The sequence below is a fragment of the Homo sapiens genome, chromosome 8 (assembly GCF_000001405.40).
Source record: "Homo sapiens chromosome 8, GRCh38.p14 Primary Assembly".
In the NCBI taxonomy this organism is placed as follows: domain Eukaryota; kingdom Metazoa; phylum Chordata; class Mammalia; order Primates; family Hominidae; genus Homo; species Homo sapiens.
In genome coordinates this window covers 80,571,016-80,593,343 of record NC_000008.11, presented here as the reverse complement: position 1 = coordinate 80,593,343, position 22,328 = coordinate 80,571,016, and the positions used below count along the sequence as shown (strand labels likewise).

At 43.2% G+C, this 22,328-nt stretch overlaps 1 pseudogene, besides 1 other annotated feature; it reads left to right on the top strand.

Moving 5' to 3' along the window:
• RNU2-71P (RNA, U2 small nuclear 71, pseudogene) lies at positions 7,563-7,754 on the top strand (annotated as a pseudogene).
• Positions 15,040-15,109: a silencer, noted in NCBI's record as "silent region_19325". NCBI's record gives its function as "represses an Ori minimal core promoter by ATAC-STARR-seq in GM12878 lymphoblastoid cells {active_cell/tissue: GM12878}" and the evidence as "EXISTENCE:reporter gene assay evidence [ECO:0000049][PMID:35858748]".

Sequence of the window (22,328 nt, the reverse complement as noted above, 5' to 3'; positions counted from 1 at the left end):
TAAATCCCTTAGCTAAGCACAGCTAAGACACAACTAAGACATATGCAAGCAAAAATCCAAGGAGCTATCCGGGGCCACACCTAGAAATTCTCTTATAAATTAACCCCTTTTTCTCTCTTTGGGCTGTGCAAAACCACAATATCTTCAGAATCTTGCCTACACAAATGACCTTTATACTATCATACAGAAATCATTTATTGTGTTTAAAAAAATAATGTATTGGCCAAGCGCAGTGGCTCACACCTGTAATCCCAGCACTTTGGGAGGCCGAGGTGGGCGGTTCACTTGAGCCTAGGAGTTCAAGACCAGCCTGGCCAACATGGCGAAATCCCATCTCCAATAAAAATACTAAAAATTAGCTGGGCATGGTGGTGCATGCCTGTAGTCCCAGCTACTTGGGAGGATGAGGGAGGAGGATTGCTTAAGGCAGGAGGGCTGCAGTGAGCCCTGATCATGCGACTGCACTCCAGCCTGGGTGGCAGAGTGAGACCCTGTCTCAAAAATAATAATAATAATGCACTAAAGAAAAAAGCCTCAAAATTAATTGGCGTCTATCTCCAGCACAGCTGTCTCTCTCTTTTTTTTTTTTTGCCTGGTCTGGAGTTGTCATTTTGTATAGCAAGGGCCTTACCTAAATGGCCCTTATGGACACAAAAGCCAAGGTCAATAAAGAGTGAGGAAGGTAGGCTGATAATTTGAAAAGAGAGTAAAAATAACTTCTGACTGCTTCAAGCCTTTAACTGTGGGATTAGGCCAAGTTTACTTAAACCTCAGGGGCAATGTTTAAAATAAGATTCACTGTGTGTGTTTTAAGTTGCAACTGTCAAAAATTATTTACTTAATTCAAATTTGCTATTGAAAGTTATGAGAGGACAAGCAATTGTGACAGCTATCTGGAGCACCATAGGTTATCCTAAGATTTTATATTGTCTGAACTTTTTTTTTTTTTTAATGAGACGGGTTCTTGCTCTGTCACCCAGGCTGGAGCGCAGTGGCATGATCTCAGCTCACTGCAACCTCCACTTCCCGGGTTCGAGCAATTCTCCTGCCTCAGCCTCCCAAGTAGCTGGGAATATAGGCACGCACCACCACGCCTGGCTAATTTTTGTTATTTTTAGTAGACACGGGGTTTCACCATATTAGTCAGTCTGGTCTCGAATGCCTGACCTCAGGTGATCTGCCCACCTTGGCCTCCCAAAGTGCTGGGATTACAGGCATGGGCCACCCGCCCGGCCATACTGTCTGAACATAAGTTTAATGCAAGGTGGGAAATGAAAGGGAAAATAAAACAGAGGAAAAGCCCATTTAGAATGAGTAATAATAGATGAACTTTACGAATTATCACTAGCTCTGATAATAGGCATATTTTATGACTTTCTAGAACATTCAAAAATGTTTTATAAACATATGGATGTATATGTGTGTATGTGTATAGACACAGAGTTAATTTTATGTGTCAACTTCACTGTACCACATCCTCGGTTGTTTGTTCAAACATCAGTCTGGATGTTTCTATGAAGGTGTTCTTTAGAAGTTATTAACTTTTAAATCAGTCAATTTGAACAAAGCAGATTACCCTCTATTATATGGGTGGGCCCCATCTAATCAGTTTAAAGCCTTAAGAGCAAAACACTGAGGTCCCCTAAGGAGAAGGAATTCTGCCTTCAGACTCGAACTGCAACATCAACTCTTGCTGGAATTTCCAGCCTGCTGCCCTGCCCTGCATATTTTAGACTTGCCAGCCCCCACAATTGCGTGAGCCAATTCCTTAAAATACCTCCCCACTGCCCTCTGCCTCTCTCTATATATATCCTATTGGTTCCGTTTCTGTGGAGAACCCTGACTAATCTAATAGATGTGTGTGTGTTTGTATGTGTGGCACAAATTTGTATTCCAAAGGTGTAAAGTCAGGCTCTGGAGTAGAATACTTTGACACACTCTATATGAAACTAGGAAACTACGGAAAGACAAAATAATACAGGACAGAGGTTAGAACTTTACGTGTAATTTTGGCTGGGAGCAGTGGCTGACGCCTGCAAATCTCAGAACTTTGGGAGGCCGAGGCCGGTGGATCACTTGAACCCAAGAGTTCCAGACCAACCTGGCCAACATGGAGAAACCCCATCTCTACAAAGTATACAAAACTTAGCCAGGTGTGGTAGTGCATGCCTGTAATCCCAGCTACTAGGGAAGCTGAGGTGGGAGGATCCCTTGAACCCAGGAGGCAAAGGTTGCAGTGAGCTGAGATCACGCCACTGAACTCCATCCTGGGCAACAGAGCAAGACTCTGTCTACTAAAAAAAAAAAAAAAAAAAAAAGCACTTTACATCTCATTGTATTTGAATCCTTCACTTCAGTTGAATTAATAACACAACGCAGGGATTTGTTTTAGTAGTATAGTTCCAATAGTTCCAAGTGATTTGCTTCAGTTTCTCTAGAATTAAAGCCACTTCTGTTCTTAAAGGGAAACATCGATTTTAGATTTTGCTTCTTGTTAAAGGAGCTTACACTTGATGATTTTCACAGCAAAGTGGTACTTATTTGGGGTATAAGCAGGGCTTCTCAAACTTTAGTGTGCATACAGATCACCTGGGGATCCTCTTAAAATGTAGATTCTAACCTCTTGGGTCTGGGGTGAGGCCAGGAGTCTGCATTTTTAACAAGCTCCCAGGTGGTGCCAGTGCTGTTGGTCTGAGGCCCATACCTTGAAAAAATAGAGAACTAGAGCAGCGGTTCTCCAGCTGGAGTGGGCATCGGAATCATCTGCAGGGCTTGTTTGATAGCTGACTGCTGGGTCCCACCCCAGAGTTTCTGATTCCCAGGTGCTGCCAATGCTGCTGGTCTGGGGATAATACTTAAGAAACACAAGCTAGTAATGTTTCCCTTATCATGAGAATCACACTTTTAAAACTACAAATTCCCATGCTCCTCTCTTCAGGAGTCTGATTCAGTAAATTTAGGGCAAACCCAGGAATCTATGTTCTTAACAAGCTTCCTAGATTGCTCGTTGAAAGGTGAAATCCTGAGCCAAAGTGTTGTCTTAATCCTGATGGTCTTCAAAATGTGTCAATACAGAAGTGTGAACCCCACCTGGACCCCCTAAATCCCACCTCTGGATGTAGGGGATAGTATCTATTAATACATATTTTTAACATGTGATTCTCACATATCAACAAGCTGAGAGCCACTGAACTGGAGCCACAGCCCCCAATTCTGACTGCATATTAGAGATTTTTTTAAGCCCTCATTCCCTTGAGTATCACCTGCCCCAGGTTCTCATTGAATTAGCCTGGGGTGGGATCCTGGTTGGTTTTTTTTTTTTTTAATACTCCCAGTAGATTTAAGGTTCAGTGACGGCTGAGAACACTGAATTGGAGCTTCAGCCTCTGGTCAGCTTCAGGACAAATTAGCCCCTTCTTCCGGGAGGGCTCCTTCTCTCCTAAAACCCAGAGCAGACTGAGCAAAGCAGCCCATCCACTCCTCCTCCCCTCTTGTGCACACCCTGGACACACTTGGTCTTCTAGGGGAGGACACTTCTCTGTGAAGAAGCACCCCTAAACGCTGTCTGACCATAGCATTTCAAAGAAAAAGGTAACCTCCTCCATTTCAAAGTCAGGCCAAAACTCATTCATTTACAATATCTATTACGCTCCTATTATGATCCAAGCACCCAACTACAGGTTGGAAATATAACTAACAAGTCCCTGTTTTTAAGGAGCTGACAATCTGGTAAAAGATTTAAGCACAGGCCAGGTGTGGTGGCTCACGCCTGTAATCCCAGCACTTTGGGAGGCCAAGGTGGGCGGATCACGAGGTCAGGAGTTCAAGACCAGTCTGACCAATACGGTGAAACCCCATCTCTACTAAAAATACAAAAATTAGCCGGGCGTGGTGACATGCACCTGTAATCCCAACTACTCAGGAGGTTGAGGCAGGAGAATTGCTTGAACCCGGGAGGTGGAGGTTGCAGTGAACCGAGATTGCACCATTGCACTCCAGTCTGGGTGACAGAGCGAGACTCCGTCTCAAAAAAAAAAATTCAAGAAAATAAATACTCCCTTGGCTCACATCAACATTCCTATTTCCTGAAATTTAGGTGACGGAAGGGGGCACTCTAAACTTCCCTTCAGCATTAGGGAGATGACAACAGGTGTGTGACCTACTCTGCCTTCTTCCAGGTTCTTCCAACCCACCACACCGGGAAGTAACTGTGTCATTTAATAACCCTGCTGACCAGATGTGTCCTTTGATTGCTATTCCAATGGAGATATATCTCCATTATAGAGATAGTTAGATGGGTAAACAGATAGATAGGTAGATAGATAGATAGATAGATAGATAGATAGATAGATAGATAGATAGATAGATAGATATACACATGCAGCAGGACAGGAAGTTGATTCTAATTTGACAAAGGCAGTTCTGTTTTTGCCATAAACTGAAATACCCACAGGAAGAACTGTTGCTGTATCCCAGAACATACGCTACCCTGGTGATAAGTCCAGAAATGGCACAATTCACCAAGCAGCCTGACACTCTCTGAGCCAAAGTTTCCTCCCTGCTGCTTCTCTCTAAGCCACCTTTTCATCATAGGCATAAGTCAGGGAATAACAGCATCTTGTTGGTGCGGGAATGGCCAAACTGAACTCATGAGCAATTGCTCACATAGTGAAAGCGTCTTGGGTTCCTGATACCAGAAGTCATCAATCAGCCAGCTGTTTGGTCATTTTTGGTTAAAAGTACATAAAATATTTCCCAGTGCTTCTCATCATCCCTCTTAATAGAAATGTTTCTACTGATTACCCACAGCCATGTCGTCAAACGAACCACAGTTGGCTGTTAACATCTGGAGGGGAGGGTATTGGTGAGCAGAGTTTTAATTTACTTAAGAGTTTTCTTTAATGAATCTCATTTTGGCAGGAGGAAGTCAGGAGCAGGCATCATAACACCATCTAATCTGCCACAAGCTGTTTTTCCCTTTCCTCAATCAATCCATTTATTCCTTTCAACATCCCCAAAGGGTCAAGACCCTGTAGCTAGAAAAAATCATATATTATGTGGCTCGCTTTTCTTTCAGTGAAAAATGTTTCCCATTGCTTTCTCTTAATTTACTGTTTTCCCCCTCTAAACTGAACAGTTTGTGACTAGCTGAAGGGTCTAGCTTAGCTGTAACATTTAATACACACAGTCTTAAGGCTTTGCTGCAAAGCAAATTAATTTTCTAGGAAAACTGACAAGATTAATAAGTCTCCACTGAAGTCAGTTTCCAATGAGCAAAGCAGAACTCTGTTAGATGACCCCTCAACTTCTTCAGCTTATTTCCGGGTTGGATGAATTTTGATTTTATTTGTGGGAAACTTTTCTTTTATGAAATGAGATTTCCTCTTGTACAAGAATAAAGTCAATGGTGTGAGTGGAGATATCGCTCAGCTGCTTGCCTGCTATAAAACCTGGACAAGTTACCTAAGCTCTGTAAGCCTCAGCGCCTCATCAGTAAAATAAAGCCAGGATAGCACTGACGTCGCGGGCTTATACTGAGCATTAAATGACAGTGGCTGGACATGGGGCTAAGTGACCTGCTTGGCTTGGCCCTAGACTAAACATTCAGTAAATGGTTGCTGCTAATATTTTACTGCTGTTATTTTTGGGTCTAATAAGGTAGGGTTTGGATGAAGTGACATACAGGCAACTATTTATTTACTTTTCTTTTGATTAATATTTGTATCTTAAGTTGTCAGATCACAGCTATCTGCTGGTACATATGCTCTTTTCAGCAGCTAGATCTTTGGGTGAATTTGTAAGGTGGTTCAGAGAGGCACAGGCTTGCTTTGCCAACGTGAGAAAGAGAGCTGTTTCTCAGAGAGATGTAGCAGTTCACGCATAAGGAGCACTCCATTGTACTTTACCTCAAAGTGGAAAAATTTTTCTTTACTCCTTTGAATAGAAGCAAAATAACAGTGTTGAAGCTTTAAAATATTGTAGGAAAAAATGCCATCCTTTAATTATTTAACAATGACCCTTAAATGAAGAAAGGTGAAGATGGCCAAAAAGTGTGACGTTCCGAGTATGAGTTCCGTTTCTGTTACCAATTAGTAAACTTGAGCAAGATTGTTTCCTAGTCAATAAAGTGAGGAATAATAATATTCAATTGGACTTTACCATTTTGGGGTAAAAAAATGAGTTACTTCATTTGAAAGAGTTTTATACATTTTTAAGTTATAATATTTGAAAGAAATGTAATAGTAACAAAAGTAATTTGCCATTGACTATCCAAAGAAGAAATTCTATTTAGCATGTTGACAATGTTCCCAATTTTTACACAATTTTTCAAGAGGCAAATGGATGGTTCTACTGTGCACAAACTGTGATGTCCAGGGTTGCCTTAGCTATCAAGCCAAGCAGATGGAGAAGAATTAAGGATTCTCAAAGCCGGGGTCACAAGCAGGTGTCACCAAGAAATTCTGTGCTGCTGCCTAAAGACAGAGGCAAAGATGATAAACTAGAGGGGAGAGAAAGGGGCAGCCAATCCTCTAAGGCGTCTTCAAGGGTCAGAGAGTCTAAGGTGAGGGTAAACTGTAAATAACATTTCCTGGGTAGCACAGCTGAATTTGTGGGTTTGTGGTAGGGTATTAAAATGAAAGCCTCACACAATTCAACTTCAGTTTGATCATAACAAAAAAGTTTCTATTTTTTGTACCATTTGCAATCACACAGATATCTTTGCTTTCATAACAGTTTTTCTATTATTTCTTCCTTTCCAACATCCTTCACCCCTTATAAAATCTACCTTGGGAGAGTTTGTTGGCTTTCTTAAAGTCATTTCATAGACAAGGTAAATATAGTTTAGCAAAACACTTCACACCTCTCTCCCAAAAAGAAAACTATTTTATTTAAAAAAAAAAGGAAAATCGGTCCCATGATGAAGTCTAGAAGTTATACCGGCTTTTTAATTAAACATTTTGGTTTTCTTCCTCACAAAATTAATACTTTATACATTCAATTTAACTGCTAAAGAAAATATACACTGATCCATACTGCCAGATAAAAGTAGTCCACATGGACAAATGACAGAGCGTAAGGCCAACAGTCACTCAGAAAGATCAATAGGCGTATATTGTCACAGGTTTGCAGACATGCTCCAGGCCTTGATGAACCAAACCAGCTGAATTATTATCTGACTCACTGTCCCCATGCCTCCCGAGCCTATCTATACATATAAGGTCACATTAATATTAATTCCAAATGACAGTAGCTCCTAGCACCTCCAGTGTAACACCAGGACCTTAGCCACTCTTCCCAAATCTCCCTTGGTCATTTCTGGGAGTCTCCAGAGTGATGTCTCAGGCATGTCCTGTAACAAATCCACCCATGTTTGCCTGCTCCTGCTGTCACTGCTGGCTATCCACTGGGACTTCATACTAGACTGCGGGCCCAGATGGAGAACAGGCACATGCTATCTCCTTCCACTGTTCTTGGCCCTTCTATCCTCCTATTTCCTCAACAAAAGAAGCAACAGAAACTAACAAAAACTCTCTCCTCCTTAAGTTGAAAAAAAAAGGCTTATTGCTTTTTGGCCTTTTGGCCTTTGGCTAAGATCAAGTATAGTATCTATTCTTATCAGTTAATATCTGATATGTCCTCTATCTGAGCACAATATACTAAGTGGATTTCTGCAGCAGGGAGATGGAATAGGAGCTTGCTCTGTCCACCCGACTCATCAACCTCGTGTTGCAGTACCTCCAGAAACAGTGCACTCCTCCCAAAAAAAAAAAAAGCAGGCCTAGAATATGGAATATATCAGTCAAGATAGGCCAAGTTATGCAGCAGAAACAATTGGAAATAATAGCAGTGAAGCACAGCAAAAGATTTATTTCTTGTGTCTGCTATGCGTATGATGCAGGTGTGAGGGACTCTCTGCCCATCTGAGTCATCCAGGAAGCCCAGCTGACAGAGGCTCCATCTCTAAATGCTCCATGGTGGGCTGGGCGCGGTGGCTCACCCCTGTAATCCCAGCACTTTGGGAGGCCGAGGCGGGCACATCACTTAAGGTCAGGAGTTCGAGACCAGTCTGGCCAACATAATGAAACCTTGTCTCTATTAAAAATACAAAAATTAGCCAGGCATGGTGGCGCACGCATGTAGTCCCAGCTACTCGGGAGGCTGAGGCAGGAGAATCGCTTGAACCGAGGAGGCAGAGGTTGCAGTGAGCCAAGATTATGCCACTGCACTCCAGCCTAGGTGACACAGCAAGACTCCGTCTTAAAAAAGTAAATGCTTCATGGCTTCTGTGGCCAGGCTCTTACTAAAGGCTGCTTACATGTGACACAAATTACTTATGAACACATTTCATCAGCCAAAGGGTATCCAATGCCTAGCCTTAAGGGGACAAAAAGTACAATCCTCCCACATGCTTGGAAGGAGAGACTCAGAACGTTTGTGAATAGTGCTGAGGATCACCAAAGGCACCCATTCCAATTGACGTTCACCCCCCGTGAGGAGTGCACACAGCAAACTCTGAACCAGAGTCTGAGTTCAGCTGCAGCTCTTGCTATACTTAGGAGATGGTAAAATCACTGACTTTGGAAATTGAATCTGTCATCCTAATTTTGTAGGTACCTGCTTTGTAGGCCTTACATAACCTTGTGGGACTAGGGAACCCACACATAACTGAGAAGAGATATGCTGCCATATTCAAAATTTCATTTCCAAGACCCAAAGAGTACACATACCTTGGAATTTGATCCAGAAAAATAAAAAAGAAGAAGTATTTTTTACTTTCTACTATGTGTAGTGAAACAGTCACACCTACATTTAGGAGTTGTCACAGTTCCTGAGCATCTGAGATGACATTACCACACAGTCTTTAATTCTGTTGCCTCTTATCCTCACACCTGCTCTGTTAGAAAGATATCTCCATTTGCGAATGAGAATTAGGGTGATGAATAATTTGCTCCTGTTTGCCATTCCCCGTACTTTTCAGTTTGGCCTTACTGGCATATTGACCTTACTGACATATTTTGTTCTTCAATGGGCCCTATTGTCTTTCTTCTTTTCTTTCTCCTTTGGTCTCCCTGTAGTGTTGCTTGTTTGTTGTTCAGAGAACACATTTTGCAGCCAATCCTAAACCTCTGTCCTGACTGGCTTTTTCTTCCCAGGCCTCAAGCATCTCCTGTCTGGCTCCACCTACCTTCATCCTGATACTGCAGGTAGGTGTCTCCTTGACACCAGCTCCGGAGCCCAGGAGCTGTTCTGCCCAAGATCCACCAGGCTCCTTTGTGCCAGCAGACCCAGGTGTGAATGCAGGTTAAATCCCTTACAAAGTGTACAATGTTGAGGTTGTATACCCTTCAGCCTGACACAGGAATATTAGGGTCATAGGAAGGATACCTTGCCCTGGCCTGCAGGGAGGGCTAGTGTCAGGATGAGAGGAGAGTAAGAATGTAAAAGGACTTCTGCAAATCAGAAGGCATCAAACAACGACCAATGTTAGTTTACTTCCCTTGCCTCCCATGATGTCCCTAGGCACCTCTCCCTCTGAACCCTCACAGCATCCTTTTTCCAATCTAGCCCTTATCCTCCTGTGCTGAAATTGCCCCTTGACTTGTAAATCTTAAGGCACTTGTGAGTGTCTTAGGGCCAAGGGCTCTGTCTAATTGCACTCGATGCATCCAGTAGGCCCTCAATGAATGATTGCTGAATGAATGAACCCAAGACCCTCTCCAAACTCCCAGCCCAAAGGGCTAAAGTTAAAAGAAGCTAGTTAAACCCTTTTGGGGGTCTTAATAACAATAGGGCAAGTACATTCATGTAAATTGGTAAATGAAACCTTTCTGAGAAATGTTTATAAGCTTTTAAATGTATAACTTGCAATACTCATTGTTTGTAGGGATTCTATTCAGTAGTCTGAAGAGAGAGAAAGAACTAGAATTCAGAATGTGTCTGGGCCCCTAACTTTCCAGGTTCCCCTTTTATCCAAAATAAAATATCCACCCGGAACCCTGCTTTCAGGTGTAAAAGATGCCTATCTGAGGAGTTAGTCACTTGGCATGCTGAAACTTCAGATACTCCAGTGTTCAAGACTTGGGTGTCTCGTAGGAGTCCCAAATTAGCCTGTTGCTAAGTACAGACATATACAAAACTCCCCTTTACATAACGGAGCATTAACGCCTACTTTATCTCCTACCTCATCATCTGTCACAGTCAAAAAATGGCATCACAAATTCAAATTCCAAGGAAATTTAAAAAAAAACATACATTGCATAGGAATCCCCTTTGAAAGCATGACCTGAAGAAAACCCCTTTCGGCTGTCTTCTGGATTAGGTAAAATGGGACAGAGAAAGGACAGAAATAAATGAATTTCTGTGGATCCAAAAAGCCTAAAAAAAGTGATTTGGGTGAGTTATATCCTGTATCCCACACCTGTTGAAATAGCTTAAATCCAAAAGTCTTGAGAATGTTTCAGATTCAAATTCTGAAAGCTTGAGATTATATTAGTATTATTTCCATATAGGAAGAAGCAATATATTTTCTGCCAAAATATGTATAAAGTTCCCCCTCTCCCTACTTCTAATTTTCTGCCCATAAAATCAATCTGCTTTTATATGGTACCTGTTCATATGTTCTAGGGAAGTGTTAAACCATTTTGAAATCTAGACTTGTTTGAAGTTTAAGAAATGTTTATTCTAAATAGCCAGCACTTTCTACAAATATGGGTAATAATCTTTAAATCAGAAAATTTACACCATCAGCCAGGCATGGTGGCTCATGCCTGTAATCCCAGCACCTTGGGAGGCCAAGGCAGGCAGATCGCTTGAGGCCAGGAGTTTGAGACCAGCCTGGCCAACATGGTAAAGCCCCATCTCTACTAAAAATGTTTAATATAAAAATTAGCCAGGCATGGCGCACGCCTGTAGTCCCAGCTACTTGGGAGGCTGAGACATAAGAATTGCTTGAACCTGGGAGGCGGAGGTTGCAGTGAGCCAAGACTGTGCCACTGCACTCCAGCCTGGGCAACAGAGTGAGACTCTGTTTAAAAAAATAAAATAAAATTTAAAAGATTTATACGATCACTTTAGGATAAACTAACATAAACTTACATTCTATCTTAAGCAGTGTTGGTTTCCTGCATAAGCCAAAATAATTAATGTAATCCTCCTAATTGATTCATTCCATATTTATTAAATATCTATAATGTGCTACTGTTCTGGGTGTTGGGAATATAGCAATATATCCTCAAAAGTCCATACCAATAGGGAGTTTACATTCTAGCAGCAAGAGACCAAACACAAGCAAAATATGTAAGTTAGATGGTGGCAAGTGCTGTGGTTGATGGCATTAATGGCCCTAACTCTTCATTCTCCCTCTCTCCGTTCCCTTTGTCATGTTTTCTGCAGTGAGTGGGGCTTTTTCCCCTTTCCCTTGACTTTGAGGTTGGCCATATGACCTGCTTTGACCAACAGAATGAGGTAGAAATGACAGCATGCCTGTTCCTGGCTATTTATTCTAGAGAAACAAGAGGCTTTCATGACTCCAAGGCCTTTCTTGCTGTTTTGCCATTGCCATGAGAACATGCCCAGGCTGGTCTGCTGGTCCAACGAGATAAGAGATACAGAGCAGACCTGCTTCAGCAAAGCTTCCTCAGTCCCACTCAGAGCCCCAGGAGACTCTCAGATGCACATATGAGCCCAGCCAACATAAGCAGAGCCACCCAATGTGCCCAGCCTAGATCTGCTGACCTCCAGTGGACCCCAGATGCACGAGCTAAAATAATAAATGGTCATTGTGTGAGGCTGAGTTTGGGGGCTGTTTGTTATACCTTGGTAGTTAACCAATACAAGTGCTTTAAAAAAAAAAAAAAAAGAAAACAGTAAAGGGGATAGAGGGTACTGTGTGGTAGTGGTGATGCTGGGGTCAATTTCAAATACCTTCCTTGTATACAGTTATTTTTAAAATATAACACTTTATTAATGACCCTAAAGATACCTCTCTTTCCAATGATTGAGAGGTTCTTATGTTCATTACCTGGTGCCTCCATTATGTATTTGGTACTCTCATCCAGGACCCAAACAAATATGAGCCAAAAGAAAAAATTGCTAATGTGTTCTGGTGTGAGAAGCAGAGCAGAAATGAACACCCTTCTCCAGTTCCAATCCAGTTACACATCCCTGTTCTTTGTCATGTTTGAAGTGCAGTGTGCAAACTCAAATATTCTCTTCTTAATGTGGCATTCTATGGTTCACTACAGCTCAATTAAAACTTTCCCCAGAGGCATTCTTTCCTAAATCATTATAAACTCACTTAAGGTTAAAGGCAGGGGGTTTAGCCAATAGAAGTCTATGCGGAAATTTGGACAATAGAGTTATTCCAATACACTTCTTGATGTAAAGAGACCATCTTTCGGCCGGGCGCGGAGGCTCACGTCTGTAATCCCAGCACTTTGGGAGGCCGAGGTGGGCAGATCACGAGGTCAGGAGATCGAGACCATCCTAGCTAACACAGTGAAACCCCATCTCTACTAAAAATATAAAAAATTAGCCGGGTGTGGTGGCGGGCGCTTGTAGTCCCAGCTACTCGGGAAGCTGAGGCAGGAGAATGGCGTGAACCCGGGAGGCGGAGCTTGCAGTGAGCCGAGATTGTGCCACTGCACTCCAGCCTGGGTGACAGAGTGAGACTCCGTCTCAAAAAAAAAAAAAAAAAAAAAAAAAAAAAAAGAAAAAGACCATCTTTCAAAGATTATTTTAAATTATTATAAAGGTAGGTAATGCTGTTGTTCTGGGGAGCTCCAATCCCTTCCCAAGTAAGCCAGTGTGGTGGTGAGAACCTGTAGTCCCAGCTACTCGGGAGGCTGAGGCATGAGGATCACTTGAGCCCAGGAATTCAAGGCTGTAAGGAGTTATGATCGTACCATTGCACTCCAGCCTGGGTGACAGAGTGAGACCCTGTCTAAAAACAAACAAAAAAAGCCTTTCCAAATTAACTACTCTACCCTCTGGTAATGTGAATGCAGGTTCCATAATAGTCCTTATATCCTCCTACCTAAAAATGGGGACTAAGAAGGTCCCAGCCCAGCTTCAATTTCCCATTTCCTACAAATCCTAAACATATATTATACTTTCCATCTTTGTTACAAAATGATAGCTTCTGTGGAAACAAAGTCACTAGTCCCAGAGCACAGTTCCAGAAAATTTTAGTGGCTAGAATTGTTTCCAATACAGTCTCAGTCAAAGATGATGAATGTATAAAGGTGCAGGAAAAAAATTCCTCTGGATCCCTTGTCTTCTAGGCAGTTACCTGTTGGTGGCTCCAGCGTACTGGGGGAAAGGTGCAAGAGTAGCTGCTGCTTTTCTTTTCTTTTCTTTTTTTTTTAATGCAAAAGCCCCCACCCCTTGCAGATCCAGAGCTTCTTGATGGAGGTATTTTCAAGGGCTTCTAAAACTACTGTCTTTTCAAATGTCCTCTTCCTTTGTCCTGTATGGATTTGAACAATTTAGATCATATTTCACAGAGTTGTGTGATCTTGGGAAAATCACTTAACTTCTCTGAGCCTCAAATTCTTCACTAATAAAATAAGAAAGTTACTCCCTGTTCTAACATGCTGCAATTTAAGTACACATGTTTAAGCTACTGATTCCAAACTAAACAAATGATAACTTTCAGCCTATTACAGGCTATCGTTCTGGACACAAACCAACTGAGTCAAAGTAGTTCAATAAAATGAATTAGATTAGATCTTTCATCATTTTTTTTAAGTCTTAGCAGTCCTCCTTAAACCGTTTTTATGTTCAGCCTCACAACTTTTACAAGCAACGACCAAGCTGTAAATAGTTAAGGATTTCAAAGCCCTCCTCAGACCCAAACAATTTGGCTTTTTAGACTTCTGAATAAAATGATAAGCTAAAAGGTCTGCAGGAGAGCATCAGAAGTCTTCAGCAGGCCTTTTCCCGTCTAGGCTCTTATTCGGTGACCGGGCTGATAAAATTTCCTCTGTGAACGCTTAATATCTTCAAGCCAGACCTAGTAGCTACTGGTTCCCAATCAATTGCTATTCACACTCACACATCTGCACAGATAAAGCCACTTTAAACATCATGCTGTGGGGTCCTGACATGATGACAGAGCCACCAGCTGTCGGGGCACTGCACTGAATTGGGGACACAAACCCCATTTTTCTATGTAAATTGGCCTGGACGCTGCTTCGGCCCCCAACAAAACGGATAGTCCTGTTAAATGGGGCCATCTGGCCGTCCCCCGGCCCCAGTGACACCTCCGGGATGGGGCGAGCGGGAGTGATCTTCGGGGGGCCAGGAAGGTAGCGCGGTAGAGCGCAGCTGTCACCCCGGCCCCAGGGGTCCTGCCCACAGAGGTTGGGGGCGAGCAGATTCGCGGTGGTCTTAAGCCTCGGGGCCCGGGACGCCTGAGGGTCTCACAGCGCACTCCCGGGGTGGGGGAGGGCGCGCTTTGTTCCTGGGCCCCAGTGGGGCGAGGCGCCCGAGCCTTGGGCAGAGTCCCTACTTCGTCCCCGGGGCCCCAGGGCAGCTCCCGCCTGGCCGCGAACAGCCGCGGGCGCCTCCATAGCAACAGCGTGGGAGCTCCGCAAACCGGGAAGAGGAGCGGGGGAGGAGGGGAAGAGGGGAGGAGGGGAGCAGAGGAGAAGGAGAACAGGGGAGGAAGGGCGAGGAGGAGGGGAGCAGGGAGAAGGGGAGCAGGGAGAAGGGGCGCAGGGGAGGAGCTGGGGCAGGAAGAAAGACCGGGGGCGGCGGCGTGGATGGGGGGCAGGGAGAAGGAGCGCCGGAGGGGGAGCGGGAGGAGCAGAGGCGGGGAGCGCCGGCGGGAGAGGGGAAGGAGTGGGGGAGCCAGAGCTGGGAGGAGCGCGGGACGGGGAGCCGGGTAGGAGCGGGGATGAGGGCGCGGCCCCGGGCGAACCAGTCCAGCCCTCCAGGGCCGGGTGCCCGGGCCAGATTCTCCAGCCGAATTCCTGCCCCAGCTGCCTGGGGGAGGGAGTCGCGGGAGCCGGAGAGGGCGGGGACCGCGGCAGGCCCGTGGGACACCGGGCCCTAGGAGGAGGCGCGGGGGTGCGGGCGGCCGGGAGGGGGCGAGGTCCTGCCGCCGCTGCAGCCCACCCCAGCCCGGGAAGAGCAGCGCCCCGGGAACGGGTCTAGGGCTCTCTCCCTTGGCGAGAGGAGCCCTCGGAAGCGGCACCCGCCTTCCCATCCTCACCCAGAGCAGCCCTCAGTCCCCCGGGGACGTGCAGGCCCTCGTCCCCACGGGCTGCGAGCCAGGCCCCCGGAGGGGAGGCGCCGGCCGCGGAGGGAATTCCGAGCTAAGGCTTGCTTTCGCCTGGAGTGTTTTCACCAGAGAATATTTTCCGTTACACAACTATTAGAAAGGTGATGTGGGTTTTCATTTTCAGTCCACCCCTCACCCCAAATCAGGGACCTCGTGGAGAAAACATATTACTAATGCTAAGCTTGGAATTTTAAACAATGTTTTCTGATAACCAGCTGAAAATTTTTGGGAGAAGCCGAGTCACAAACAGATCATCATTCTTAAGTACTGTTTGCTAAGCGTCAGCTTGCACAAGATATTTCACAAAGCTGGCGAACCGGACGCGATCCTTGCTCTCATAGAGTTTGCCACAGAAATGGACAACAATTACATTCAGAAAGGCATTTTTGAATAGCTCTTATGACGTGGTGTTAAAGGTGTGGAAAAAAAGCTTATTTCAGACATGAGTATTTCCAGAGAAAATCTATAGATAAGTGCTGTATATTTTATTTTAAAAACCATTATAAAAAGCAAAGAGAAAAAAAATAAACTTTTGGAAGTTCTCAGCTAACATGGCCTATGGGAAAATGAAAATAAACCTAATTGAAAAAACAGCGCTCACCATAAATAGGTTTAGCTTTCAGGCAGGGAACGTGGTTTGGAAAAAAAAAAAAAAAAAAAAACACCAGCAGAAAATTCACCAATCAAATGTAAGGTTGTCCATGTTTCCTAAAGCAAAGGTCAAAGAATCCTCGGAAGCCCTAAAAAACACTGTTTCTGTGGATAGAGCCTGAGCTTTTGTTTTGCTGTTTGTTCTGAAAATCCAAATCGGTAACCCCTGTTTTCAGGTATTATCCAAAGGAACATTTTTTGGTTTCTTCTACCCACATACTCCCAAATTAGGCACCTACCTTAAAGTAACAGGAAAACTCGTGGGTTTGTAATTGTGTGATATCCCATCTGGTTTCAACTCTGTCGCTGACCAAAAAGAAAGGATGAAAAATGTAAGCAAACTTCTGTAAACTGTAAGTTTATCTATAAAACTCTAAATGTTCACTTATTTTGACATAACATGCATGACTTCTAGAATTAGATTTCCAACTAGTTGATATGTAGCATTTTGTGAGGGTTCGCTGAATTCCAGGCACTATTCTAAGCAATTTATAGACATTTGCATTTTACTGAATTCTCTTAAACTTAGAAGACAGGTACTATTATTATTCCATTTGATAGATGAGGAAACTGAAGTTTCGAAAGGGCATAAAACCTGCCCAGATTTGCCCAATAGTAGTCAACAGGGTTGGGTTGAAGACCCCAAACCTACCATCTCTGAGCAGTTAGTTTGTTCCCTGACTACACATTCCACAAGAGCAGAACCTCCCTCAAATCTCATCTAGGATAATATGGACTATAACTGTGGGCAAAAAAAAAATACTTATGGATTAATTGAATTTCTCACTTTTGTCCAATTTTTCTGGCAGAAGACAGACATGTAAATTCAAGAATCATTATTTTTAAGTGTTCCTCAGCAGTTATCATCCAAGCCTTTTTCATTCAAGGAGTCGAAAACTGTGCAATAGCAATATTATAAAAAGACTTTGAAAGATAATCATTATATTGACTTTGATATAGCAAAATGGCAGAGATAAGAGTACATTTGTTTTAAGAAATTAAGCAAGTAGACCAGCCTGGCCAACATGGTGAAACCCCGTCTCTACTAAAAATACAAAAAATTAGCCAGGCATGGTGGTGGGCGACTGTAATCCCAGCTGGGAGGCTGAGGCACAAGAGTCGCTTGAACCCAGGAGGCGGAGATTGCAATGAGCCAAGATGATGCCACTGCACTCCAGCCTGGGCGACAGAGTGAGACTTTGTCTTAAAAAAAAAAAAAAAAAAAAAAAAGAAGCAGTAAGTAAAAAAGTTTTTAAATAAAGACATGGGATACTGCCTTCCCCCTGCATTAATACTATTACTGATTCTTTGCACAAATTTTTAATGTAGCTTCACATGATTATTTAGAACTGTAACAATATTTAAAAGACATATTCTGAATTCATTCATAAACCATCTTTTTAGAATTTGGTTGTATCCTGTTGGATAACGTTGACTTGTTTCTTTATTTTCTATCAAAGGTCTGACCATAACCTTAAATTCTTAGGCAACTACAAATTAGGAGGAATAGGCTAAGCATCATTTGATGTTTGTCTGCACATCAGTCAAGTGAGGGTTCAGAGTCATCTGCTGAATTTGGCCTCTGTAAGTGAATAATGAGAATATATCCACCTTTAAAATCTTTTGCCTTTGCATCTTTTCTTCTGTCTCAGTCAGTCCTGTGGCCCTTTCCTGGACTGGGCGAAGGGAACAACACAGCAGTGGGTGATTGAGGAAAGGGAGCATGAAAGAAACAAAATGGGAACATTTGGAACAGAGGTGGCCTAAACATTAGCTTTTCCCTGTGCAGAGTCACCAAGGCCAGGAGCTAATCGTGGCTGGGTTCAGGATGAGGGCACGATAGGGAGACGAGGTGAGAATCAGTATTGGTACTGCCAATGTTTTTAGGCGGAGCACTAAAAGGAAGGTTTTTTTCAGGTTGTGGCTCAGGAGCAAGCTTGAATTTCAGTTGACTTGACTGGGGGCGGGGTAAGCAGGCCAAGCCCCCAGGAAGTTTTAGAGAGCAGGGAGTTACTCTGCTGTCTTCCTGCAGATCTGAAGGGGGAAAAGGGGGTGTTTGCCTGCAGCCGGAGCCATTCTCCCTGATGGCCCTGTGCGCCTGTCCAGAGAGAGGGAGCCAGGGAAGAAGCGGACAGACAGATGCCTTCTGGCCCACCCCTCCTTCTGCTAGAACTGATTGCAGTTTTAAATCTTTTTGTTTCTTCTAATTTTCTAAAAAGGTTTTCCCTTTAGGAAAATACTCCCTCATTAACGTTAGTCCAAAAAGTGCTTTTTCCCCCCTTTTTCAGAATTTAGAGGGAAAAATACCCTGTGACTATTTTTAACACATGTGGGAGAGGAGAGATTCTTTTTTTCTTTGCTTAAATATTCTGATATTCCCATCACTAGTAACTGACATTTCCCAAAACTAAAAGTGAAATTTCCCAGTAGGGTCTCCAGTCTAAATAAGATTTATTAGAAAATAGGAATGAAGAGATTGGGGAGGGGGAGAGAGAGAGAGAGACTAAAAATTTTTCAAGGGATTTCAGTTTTTATTTCAGCAAAGTTTCCTTCTAATTGAATTCATAAGCAGCATTTTGCAGTAATATTATTGTATGCCTTGTTTTTTCTTTTTATACCTACAGACTGATTTTTAGAACTGAAATTTGAAAGAATACAGCTGAATGATTTTCCCCCTTACTGAGGAGGTCAAACAAAAAGAAGACAATTTAATCAATATAGAGTTTAGGTCAATCAACTCAAAGTGAATAGATGAAAGCCTAGAATTAAAACATTAAACATCTACTGAGCAGAATACCTAATTAGTATTGATCACCGAATAATTCTAAGCACATGTGCTGTTTACATAGAAAGGAAGCAATATATTTTCTTAGAAAAAAAAGAGCAATAACATTATATCTGGACCTGATTAACATGAGGTAAAGAAAAAAGGCCTTATAAAATGAGACTCATGACACCACCACATTAGAAAAAAACTTTGCTGGACAGGACACATTATTCAGCGGAAACTGTAATCATGTCCAAGGATGGAAGACAGGACTTGGGGTGAGGGCTATGCCAGGAGAGAAGTATGAACAGGGACAGGAGCGACAGGCCGAAGCACACAACTGGATTTTTCTGACCTGACAGAACAGCTGGCAATTTTTTGAGTAGGATGCGGGGCATGGTTACTTTGTGTGAGATGTGGGTGATGAAGTTACAAACATGACCTGCAGTCCTCATATTGAGCCTCCGACACCCATCTATACACTGTATTATACTGCGCTGATTTTACAGGGAGGAGACTGAGGATTAGGGAGTCCCAGTAACTAACCTAAGGACACCCAGATTGTCAGTGGCAAAGGTGGAATTCCAGCTAGGTTCTCCCTTTTCATCTCCCCATAGTAATGATTAGTTAGTGGGGGGTGAAGAGGAGCCTTCCCAAACACCCAAGGAAAAGTACACTTAAACAAGCACATTTCAGCCACTCAGCTAGAGCTTCCTTCATCTACTTTGTGTTATTGGTGGCATTAGAAGAAGGCTCACAGCTGTGGCCTCTGAGCTCAAAGAAAGTTGCTGACTTTCTTTGTAGACTGAAGTTTTAGATAATACCATCTCCTTTTCCCTTAGTCTGGTGGAAGGCAGAGGCTATCTCTGAGGCATCCAGACGTGCTTAGACCTATCCAGAGGACTGACCGCAGCTCTTGGTTTTGAACCAAAAATTTTGGCTAATTCACCTTGAGAGAGTGACCATTGGTTAGAAGGTGAGTAGAAGGAGAATGGGAGAGAAAAATCCTTAGCCAACTGATTAGTTGAAACTTGAAATAAAGATGGTGGACAACATTAATACTGTTACTATTAACATGTAATTGAAGAATTGTTTTTTGTAGAATTTACTAATTTGGAAATCACTGGCCTATTTGTTTATGGCCTGAGGGAAAGTCGGGGTGAGAGAGACAGGAACTGGGGAGGGAAGGCTTCCCTGAGGAAGCGACTTTTCAACTGCATGTTCATTTGTTAGGGGCCAGGCTTGAGGAGCACTGAGGAGAAAAAGAGGTTTCTCCGAGGGGCGGGGACGGCTGGCGCAAGGACCCTGTGAAGCCCATACATTCGATTTTGCTGGAATTTACCCATTTTCCTCTTTTCTAAGAACCATACTTCTTAAAAAAACTGATCTCGCCTATTAGACTACACAAGACAAGCATATTCCTGCCCCTTTTTATTTGATGGCTTAACAATGTTTACCGGGGGCGTTTATTGTTGGGGTTCAGGGACATAGCCATACTTCATTGTGCCCAAGGGCAAGTGCATCCTGGCCTCAGAAGGAACTGGGTGAAATCCCCAAAGCTAGCAGGAAAGAGGCAGAACACCTTCCCCATTTCTACTTTTTGTCTGTTTTTTTCTCTTCATGAAGCTTCTTATCACTTCTGCAGACCAGCTTTGCGTTCCTCTGAACACATGATCAACTGCGATCACAGAAAAGCTTAGTTTCTATCACCTCAGTTCTGGGTACACCACTAACTGGCCATCTTGACTCTCATTTCCAAATATGGGGGCAAAAAAAAATTGACTGATTCCACCTCAGTCAAGTATTCACCTCTGAGCCAATCATCCGTAGTCAAGAATGTTGATTTTAAATAGCTGATTTTGAGTTAGGGAGAAGCGGTTTCTCCTTACACCAGGTAAGTAGGCAGTCTCCAAAGACTCCCTGTGACTTTCCACATCACGTTTTAGCTCTTCCTACCTTGACTTCCAGATTCTCTAAAATATACTTATATCCTTGTTCCATGTTAACCGCTACTTATTACCATGACTTTAAAAATAATAATACACCGGGCGTGGTGGCTCACATCTGTAATCCCAGCAATTTGGGAAGCCGAGGCGGGCAGATCACTTGAGGTCAGGAGTTCGAGACCAGCCTGGCCAACATGGTGAAACTCTGCCTCTAATGAAAATACAAAAATTAGCTAGGTGTGGCTGCTTGCGCCTGTAATCGCAGCTACTTGGGAGGCTGAGGTGGGAGAATCGCTTGAACCCAGGAGGCGGAGGTTGCAGTGAGCCAAGATCACAATACTGCACTCCAGCCTGGGCGACAGAGCAAGACTCTGTCTCAAAAATAAATAAATTAATTAATTAAATAAAAAATAAAAATAAAATAAATACAAAAAATTAGTCTATTAGTCTCCTTTTATGATTCAATTAAACATCTGTTTTTCTCCCCCTCATTTATCTTAGAGATCATCTAATTCACTCTATTACAAACCAGAGATGTTAAGTGACTTACCTGGGGTCATACATTTGTGGCAGAACCCTCTGTACAGGGTTTTTTTCAGTTATAAAGTGCTGCCTCCTACTGAGGTTTGTGTCTGGGACCCCAGGACAAAATAAGAAAGGACATAGCAGGAATCTCACCTAACCTATGTCTCAGCTCAGAGGGGAAAACTTCACAGAAGGGATCAGTCTGGCATAAGCATACCATTGAACAGGTGTTTCAAGGGGGCAGGACTTGGATGACCAGATCTTAGAAGAAAGACTTAGTCTAAGTCTCTGTGCATTCTGGAGAGGCCTTGCTCACCAGAAAGCCCAATGTTGGTGTTCAGCTGCTGCCCACCTTAGGGTACAATGAACCCTATTCTGCTGGAAGAGTTGTTCCATCAAAGAAACGGGATCTTTCTCAGAAGTCTCATGCAAATATTAATTCATTCAGACAAAAGCAGATGAGTAGACACTGGGTGACTTTGAACCACTATTCAACCGACTCTGGGCCTCCATTATCAAATAAAATGGTTGGATAAGAACTAGGCAACTTCCATGATGGCTCATAGCTCTAAAATCTCATGATTCCATAATAAGTAAATAGAAATAACAGAAGAAATTCATCAGACAATAAACACAAAACAGACATTAAGTCCTCAGGCTAAATGCAATTTTTAAAATTCAGCCATTTTTTTTTAAAAAACCCAAATAATTAAAAGCTTAAAATTTTTAAGAAAATGATCTTATAACCACTGCATGAAACACTATCAACAATAAATTGTTTTTTAAATTATGAAAATAGGCCGGGCGCAGTGGCTCACGCCTGTAATCCCAGCACTTTGGGAGGCTGAGGCGGGTGGATCACGAGGTCAGGAGATCGAGACCATCCTGGCTAACACGGTGAAACCCCGTCTCTACTAAAAATACAAAAAATTAGCCAGGCATGGTGCACACGCCTGTAGTCCCAGCTACTTGGGAGGCTGAGGCAGGAGAATCGCTTGAACCCGGGAGGCAGAGGTTGCAGTGAGCCAAGATCGCGCCACTGCACTCCAGTCTGGACGACAGAGCGAGACTCCATCTCAAAAAAAAAAAAAAAAAAAAAGAAAGAAAAGAAAACTCTACATATTAAATTTTATGACACAGCCAAGTGATTCCC